The sequence below is a fragment of the Homo sapiens genome, chromosome 12 (genome assembly GCF_000001405.40).
Source record: "Homo sapiens chromosome 12, GRCh38.p14 Primary Assembly".
NCBI lineage: Eukaryota > Metazoa > Chordata > Mammalia > Primates > Hominidae > Homo > Homo sapiens.
In genome coordinates, this window is record NC_000012.12 from 37616595 (window position 1) to 37625254 (window position 8660).

An 8660-nucleotide genomic window follows, 5' to 3' on the forward strand; every position below is an offset into this window, starting at 1 on the left:
AATCTTCGTTGTGATGTTTACATTCAAGTCAGAGAGTTGACCCTTTCATTTGATAGACCAGTTTTGAAACAATCTTTTTGTGGTATCTACAAATGGATACTTTGATCGCTTTGTTGCCTATAGTTGTAAAGGAAATATCTTCACATAAAAATTAGGCAGAATCATTCTGAGAAACTTCTTTGTGATGTGTGCATTCATGTCACAGAGGTGAAACTTTCTTTTAATTGAGCAGTTTTGAAGCACTTTTTTGTAGAATCTGCAAGTGGATATTAGGAGCGTTTTGAAGCATATGATGGAAAAGGAAATATCTTCACTCAAAAACTAGACAGAAACATTCTCAAAAACTTCTTTGTGATGTGTACATTCAACTCACAGAGTTGAACCTTTGTTTTGATGGAGTAGTTTGAAGAACTATTTCTGAAGTATCTGAAAATGGATATTTGGAGCGCTTTGAGGCCTATGTTTGAAAAGGAAACATCTCCACATAAAAACAGTGACAGAAGCATTCTGAGAAACTTCTTTGTGATGTGTGCATTCATCTCACTGATTTGTACCTTTCTGTTGATAGAGCAGTTTTGAAACACTCTTTTCATAGAATCTGCAAGTGGATATTTGGACTGCTTTGAGGCCTGTGGTTTAAAAGGAAATATCTGCACATAAAAACTAGACACAAACGTTCTCAGAAACTTTGTGATGTGTGCGTTCAACTCACAGAGTTGAACCTTTCTTTTGATAGAGCAGTTTTGAAACACTCTTTTTGTAGAATCTGCAAGTGGATGTGTGGAGTGCTTTGAGGCTTATGGTGGAAAAGGTAATATCTTCACATAATAACTTGACAGAAGCTTTCTCAGTAACTTCTTTGTGATGTGTGCATTCATCTCACAGAGTTGAAACTTTCTTTTGACTGAGCAGCTTGGAAACAGTCTTTTTCTTGTATCTGCAAATGGAGATTTGGAGTGCTTTGTGGCCTATAGTTGAAAAGGAAATATCTCCACATAAAAACTAGACAGAAGCATTCTCAGAGAATTCTCTTTTATGATGTGCTTTGAACTCATGGAGTTGAACCTTCGCTTTGATTGAAGAGTTTGAAAACATTCTTTTTGTAGTATCTGCAAATGTATATTTGGTGTGCTTTGTGGTCTATGGTTGAAAAGGATATATCTTCACATCAAAACTAGGCAGAAGCCTTCTGAGAAACTTTTTTGTGATGTGTGCATTCATCTCACAGGGTTGAATGTTTCTTTTGATTGAACAGTTTGGAAACACTATTTTGCAGAATCTGTTAGTGGATATTTGGAGCGCTTTGATGCCTATCATGGAAAAGAAAATGTCTCCACATAAAAACTAGAAAGAAGCATTCTCAGAAACTTGTTTGTGATGTGTACATTCAACTCACAGAGTTGAACCTTTCTTTTATTGAGCATTTTGGAAAGCCTCTTTTTGTAGTATCTGCAAATGGATATTTGGAGCGCTTTTAGGCCTATTGTTGACAAGAAATGTTTCACATAAAAACTAGACAGAAGCATTCTGAGAAACTTCTTTCAGCTGTGTACATTCATCTCACACTTTTGAACCTTTCGTTTCATTGAGCAGTTTTGAAAATCTCTTTTTTTAGAATCTGCAAGTGTATATTTATAGTGCTTTGAGGCATATGGTGGAAAAGGAAATATCTTCACATAAATAATAGACAAAAGCATTCTGAGAAACTTCTTTGTGATGTGTGCATTCATCTCACAGAGTTGAACGTTTCTTTTGATTGAGCAATTTGGAAACACTATTTTTATAGAATCTGGAATTGAATATTTGGCAGGCTTTGAGGCCTATGATGGAAAAGGAAATATCTTCACATAAAAACTACACAGAAACATTCTGAGAAACTTATTTGTGATGTTTGCATTCAACTCAGAAAGTTGAACTTTTCTTTTGATTCAGCAGTTTTAGAAACATTCTTTTTGTAGAATCTGCAAGTGGATATTTGGAGCCCTTTGCAGCCTATGGTGGAAAAGGGAATAACTTCACATAAATACTACACAGAAGCATTCTGATAAACTTCTTTGTGATGTGTGCTTTCTACTCACAGAGTTGAACGTTTCTTTTGATTGAGCAGATTTGAAACACTCTTTTTGTAGAACCTGCATGTGGATATTAGGAGCGCTTTGCGGCGTATAGTGCAAAAGGAAATGTCTTCACATAACAACTAGACAGAAGCATTCTGAGAAACTTCTACAGTCTTTTTTTGGAATCTGCAAGTGGATATTTGGAGCGCTTTGAGGCCTATTGTGGAAAAGGAAATATCTTCACATAACAACTACACAGAAGCATTTTGAGAAACTTCTTTGTGATATGTGCATTCATCTCACAGAGTTTAAACTATCTATTGATTGAGCAGTTTTGAAGGAATCTTGTTGTAGAATCTGCAAGTGGATTTCTGGAGCGCTTTGTGGCCTATGGTGGTAAAGGAAATGTCTTCACATAAAAACTACACAGGAGCATTCTAAGAAAGTTCTTTGTTATGTGCATATTCAACTCACAGTGTTGAACCTATTTTTTGATAGAGCACTTTTGAAACTCTCTTTTTGTTGAATCTGCAAGTGGATATTTGGAGCCCTTTGTGGCCTGTTGTGGAAAAGGAAAGAACTTTCCATAAAAAGTACACTGAAACATTCTGAGAAACTTCTTTGTGATGTGCGCATTCATCTCACAGAGTTGAACCTCTCTTTTGATTGAGCACTTTGTAAACAATCTTTTTGTAGAATCTGCATGCGGATATTTGGAACGCTTTGGGGCCTATTGTGGAAAAGGAAATATCTTCACATAAAAACTACACAGAAGCATTCTGAGAAACTTCGTTATGAAATGGGCATTCATCTCACAGAGTTGAAACTTTCTTTTGATTGAGCAGTTTTGAAACACTCCTTTCGTAGAATCTGCAAGTGGATATATGGAGAGCTTTGAGGCCCATGTTGGAAAAGGAAATATCTTCACCTAAAAACAAAACAGAAGCATTCTGAGAAACTTCTTTCTGATGTGTGCTTTCATCTCACAGAGTTGAACTTTTCTTTCGATCGAGCAGTTTTGAATCTGCAAGTGTAAATTTGCAGCGCTTTGCGGCCTATGGTGGAAAAGTAAATATCTTCTCATAAAAACTACACAGAGGCATTCTGGGGAACTTCATTGTGATGTAGGCATTCATCTCACACGGTTGAACCTTTCTTTGCATTGAGCAGTTTTCAAACACTCTTTTCATAGAATCTGCAAGTGGATATTTGGAACGCTTTGAGACCTATGGTGGAAAAGAAAATATCTTCACTTAAAACTAGACAAAAGCATTCTCAGAAACTTCTTTGTGATGTGTGCACTCAACTCACAGAGTTGAACATTTCATTTGACAGAGCAGTTTTGAAACACACTTTTTGTAGTATCTACAAGTGGATATGTGGAGCAACTTCAGGCCTATGGTGGAAAAGGAAATATCTTCACATAAAAATTAGACAGAAGCATTCTCAGAAACTTCTTTGTGCTGTGTGCATCCAACTCACAGAGTTGAACCTTCCTTTTGGTAGAGGAGTTTTGAAACACTCTTTTTGTAGAATCTATAAATGGATATTTGGAGTTCTTTGAGGCCTCCCATAGAAAAGGAAATATCTTCACATAAAAAAAAAAAGACAGAAGCATGCTCAGAATCTTCTTTGTGAGGTGTGCATTCAACTCACATGGTTGAAGCTTCCTTTTGATAGAGCAGTTTGAAACACTTTTTTTGTAGACTCTGCCAGTGGATATTTGGAGTGCTATGAGGCCTACGGTGGAAACGGGAATATCTTCACATAAAAACTAGACAGAAGAATACTCAGAAATTTATTTGTGAGGTGTGCATTCAACTCACAGAGTTGAAACTTCCTATAGATAAAGCAGTTTTGAAACACACTTTTTGTAGTATCTGCAAGTGAATATTTGGAGCACTTTGAGGCCTTCAGTGGAAACGGAAATATCTTCATGTAAAAACTAGACAAAAGAATCCTCAGAAACTTCTTTGTGATGTGTGGATTCAACTCACAGAGTTGAACCTTTGTTTTGATAGAGCAGTTTTGAAACACTCCTTTAGTAGAATCTGCAAGTGGATATTTGGAGCGCTTTGAGGCCTATGGAGGAAAAGGAAATATATTCCCACAAAAACTAGACAGAAGCATTCTCAAAAACTACTTTGTGATGTGTGCATTCAACTCACAGAGTTGCAACTTTCTTTTGATTGAGCAGCTTTGAAACACTATTTTTGTAGAATCTGCAAGTGGATGTTTGGAACGGTTTGAGGCCTACAGTGGAAAAAGAAACATCTTCACATAAAAACTAGACAGAAGCATTCTCAGAAACTTCTTTGTGATGTGTGCATTCAACTCAGAGATTTGAACCTTCCTTTTGATAGAGCAGTATGGAAACACTCATTTTGAAGAATCTGCAAGTGGATATTTAGAGTGCCCTCAAGCCTATGGTGGAAAAGGAAATATCTTCAAATAAAAGCTAGACAGAAGCATTCTCAGAAACTTCTTCGTGACGTTTGCATTCAAATCAGAGAGTTGAACTCTCCTTTTGATTGAGCAGTTTTGAAACACTCTTTCTGTAGAATCTGCAAGGGGATATTTGGAGCGCTTTGAGGCATACAATGGAAAACTAAATATCTTCATATAAAAACTAGACAGAAGAATTCTCAGAAACTACTTTGTGATGTGTGCATTGAACTCAGAGTGATGAAACTTCCTTTTGATAGAGCAGCTTTGAAACATTCTTTTTGTAGAATCTGCAAGTGAACATTTGGAGCGCTTTGAGGCCTATGGTAGAAAAGGAAATAACTTCATATAAAAACTACACAGAAGCATTCTCAGAAAGTGAATTGTGAGGTGTGCATTCGACTCACAGAGTTGAACCTTCCTTTTGATGGAGCAGTTGTGAAACACTCTTTTTGTAGAATCTGCAAGTGGATATTGTGAACGCTTAGAGTCCAATGGTGGAAAAGTAAATATCTTCACATAAAAACTAGACAGAAGCATTCTCAGAAATTTCTTTGTGATGTGTGCATTCAACTCAGAGAGTTGAACATTCGTATTCATACAGCAGTTTTAAAACAGTCTTTTTGTAGAATCTGCAAGTGGATGTTTGGAGCACTTTGATACCTATGCTGGAAAAGGTAATATCTTCACATAAAAACTAGAAAGAAGCATTCTCAGAAACTTCTTTGTAATGTGTGCATTCAACTCACAGTGTTGAACCTTCCTTTTGATAGAGCAGTTTTGAAACACTCTTTTTGTAGAATCTATAAATGGATATTTGGAACTCTTTGAGGCCTACCATGGAAAAGGAAATATCATCACATAAAAAAAAAAAGACAGAAGCATTCTCAGAAACTTCTTTGTGAAGTCTGCATTCAACTCACATGGTTGAAGCTTCCTTTTGATAGAGCAGTTTGAAACACTCTTTTTGTAGAATTTGCCCGTGGATATTTGGAGTGCTATGAGGCCTATGGTGGAAATGGGAATACCTTCACATAAAAACTAGACAGAAGAATTCTCAGAAACTTCTCTGTGAGGTGTGCATTCAACTCACAGAGTAGAACCTTTCTTTTGATAGAGGAGTTTTGAAACACTGTTTTAGTAGAATCTGCAAGTGGATATTTGGAGCGCTTTGAGGCCTATGGAGGAAAAGGAAATATATTCCCACAAAAACTAGACAGAAGCATTCTCAAAAACTACTTTGTGATGTGTGCATTCAACTCACAGGGTTGAAAATTTCTTTTGATTGAGCAGCTTTGAAACACTATTTTTGTAGAATCTGCAAGTGGATGTTTGGAAAGGTTTGAGGCCTACGGTGGAAAAGGAAACATCTTCACATAAAAACTAGACAGAAGCATTCTCAGAAATTTCTTTGTGATGTGTACATTCAACCACAGAGTTGAACATTTCTTTTGATAGAGCAGTTTTGAAAGACACCTTTTGTAGAATCTGCTTGTGGATATTTGGAGCTCTTTGAGGAATTCGTTGTAAATGGGATATCTTCACATACAAACTAGAAGCATTCTCAGAAACTGCTTTGTGATGTGTGCATTCAAATCTGTGAGTTGAGAGAGTAGTTTTGAGAGAGTAGTTTTGAAACAGTGTTTTTGTAGTATCTGCAAGTGGATATTTGGAGCGCTTTGGGGCCTATGGTGGAAAAGAAAATATCTCCACAGAAAAAATAAACAGAAGCATTCTCAGAAACTTCTTCATGATTTGTGCATTCAACTCACAAGGTTGAACCTTTCTTTTGATACAGCAGTTTTAAAACACTCTTTTTGTAGAATCTGCAAGTAGATATTTGGAGGGCTTTGGGGCTTATGATCTAAAAGGAAATATCTTCAAAGAAAAAGTAGACAGAAGCATTCTCAGAAACACCTTTGTGATGTGTGCCTTCAACTCATAGAATTGAACCTTTCTTTTGATAGAGCAGTTTTGAAACATTCTTTTTGTAGAATCTGCAGGTAGATCTTTGGAGCGCTTTGAGGCCATTGGTGGAAGAGAAAATATCTCCACATGAAAATGAGACAGTAGCATGCTCAGAACCATCTTTGTGATGTGTGCATTTAACTCACAGAGTTGAACATTTCTTTTGATAGAGCAGTTGTGAAACACTCTTTTTGTAGAATCCTCAAGTGTATATTTGGAGTGCTTTGAGGCCTATAGTGGAAAAGGAAGTATCTTCACAAAAAAACTAGACAGAAGCATTCTCAGAAACTTCTTTGTGATGTTTGCCCTCAACTCAGAGAGTTGAACCTTTCTATTGATAGAGCAGTTTTGAAACAGTCTTTTTGTAGAATCAGAAGTGGATATTTCGAACGATTTGAGGCCTATGGTGGAAAAGGACATATCTTCACATAAAAACTAGACAGAAGCATTCTCAGAAACTTCGATGTGATGTAAGCATTCAACTCACAGAGTTGAACATACCTGTTCATAGAGCAGTTTTTAAACACTCTTTTGGTAGAAACTGCAACTGGATATTTGGAGTGCTTTGTGTCCTTTGTTGGAAACGGGAATATCTTTACATAAACGCTTGAGAGAAGCATTCTCAGAAACTTCTTTGTGATTTGTGCATACACCTCACAGAGTTAAACCTTTCTTTTGATAGAGCAGTTTTGAAACTCTCTTTTTGTAGCATCTCCACCTAGACATTTGGAGTGATTTGAAGCCTATGGTGGAAAAGGAAATAACTTCACACAAAAACTAAACGGAAGCATTCTCAGAGACATCATTGTGATGTGTGCATTCAGCTCACAGAACTGAATCTTTCTTTTGATAGAGCAGTATTGAAACACTCTTTTTGTAGAATCTGCAATTGGATATTTGGATAGGTTTGAGGCACATGGTGGAAAAGGAAATATCTTCACATAAATACTAGACAGATGCAATCTCAGAAAGTACTTTGTGATGTGTGCATTCAACCCACAGAGTTGAACCTTTCTTTTGATAGAGCAGTTTTGAAACACTCTTTTTGTTGAATCTGCAATTGGATATTTTGAGGGCTTTGAGGACTACGGTGGAAAAGGAAATATCTTCACATAAAAACTAGACAGAAGCATTCTCAGAAACTTCTTTATGATGTGTGCGTTCAACTCACAGAGTTGAACCTTTCTTTTGATAGAGCTGTTTTGAAACACTCATTTTGTAGAATCTGTAAGTGGATATTTGGAATGCTTTGAGGCCTTTCGTGGAAAAGGATATATTTTCTCATAAAAACTAGACAGATGCATTCTCAGAAAGCACTTTGTGATGTGTGCATTCAACTCACAGAGGGGAAACTTTCTTTTGATAGAGGGCAGTTTTGAAACACTCTTTCTGTAGAATCTGCAGGTGGATATTTGGAGCGCTTTGAGGCCTATGGTGGAAAAGGAAATATCTTCACAGAGAAACTAAACAGAAGCACTCTCAGAAACTTTTTTGTGATGTGTGCATTCAACTCACAAAGTTGAACCTTTCTTTTGATACAGCAGTTTTAAAACACTCTTTTTGTAGAATCTGCAAGTAGATATTTGGAGTGCTTTGTGTCTTATGCTTCAAAAGGAAATATCTTCACAGAAAAAGTAGACATAAGCATTCTCAGAAACATCTTTGTGATGTGTGCATTCAACTCACAGAGTTGAACCTTTCCTTTGATAGAGCAGTTTTGAAACACTCTTTTTGTAGAATCTGCCAGTGGATATTTGGAGGTCTTTGAGGCATATGGTTGAAAACGAAATATCTTCACAAAAAAACTAGACTGAAGCTTTCTTAGAAACTTCTTTGCGATGTGTCATTTCAACTCACAGAGCTGAACCATTCTTTTGATAGAGCAGTTTTGAAACAATCTTTTTCCAGAATCTGCAATTGGATGTTTGGAGTGCTTTGAGGCCTATCCTGGAAAAGGAAATATTGTCACCAAAAAACTAGACAGAAGAATTCTGAGAAACTTCTTTGTGATGTGTGCATTCATCTCACTGAGTTGAATCTCTTTTTTGATTGAGTAGTTTGCAAGCACTCTTTTTGCAGAATCTGCCTTTGGACACTTGGAGCGCTTTGCAGCCTATGGTAGAAAAGTAGACAGACAGAAGCAAGCTGAGAAACTTCTTTGTGAAGTATGCATTCACCTCACAGAGTTAA

The 8660-nt window shown here is 36.7% G+C and overlaps 2 annotated features.

The window, feature by feature from the left end:
- Positions 7318-7821: an enhancer, noted in NCBI's record as "OCT4-NANOG hESC enhancer chr12:38017714-38018217 (GRCh37/hg19 assembly coordinates)". NCBI's record gives its function as "activates a minimal SCP1, AML or CMV promoter by ChIP-STARR-seq in naive H9 embryonic stem cells {active_cell/tissue: H9 hESC(naive)}" and the evidence as "EXISTENCE:reporter gene assay evidence [ECO:0000049][PMID:30033119]".
- Positions 7904-8438: an enhancer, noted in NCBI's record as "OCT4-NANOG hESC enhancer chr12:38018300-38018834 (GRCh37/hg19 assembly coordinates)". NCBI's record gives its function as "activates a minimal SCP1, AML or CMV promoter by ChIP-STARR-seq in naive H9 embryonic stem cells {active_cell/tissue: H9 hESC(naive)}" and the evidence as "EXISTENCE:reporter gene assay evidence [ECO:0000049][PMID:30033119]".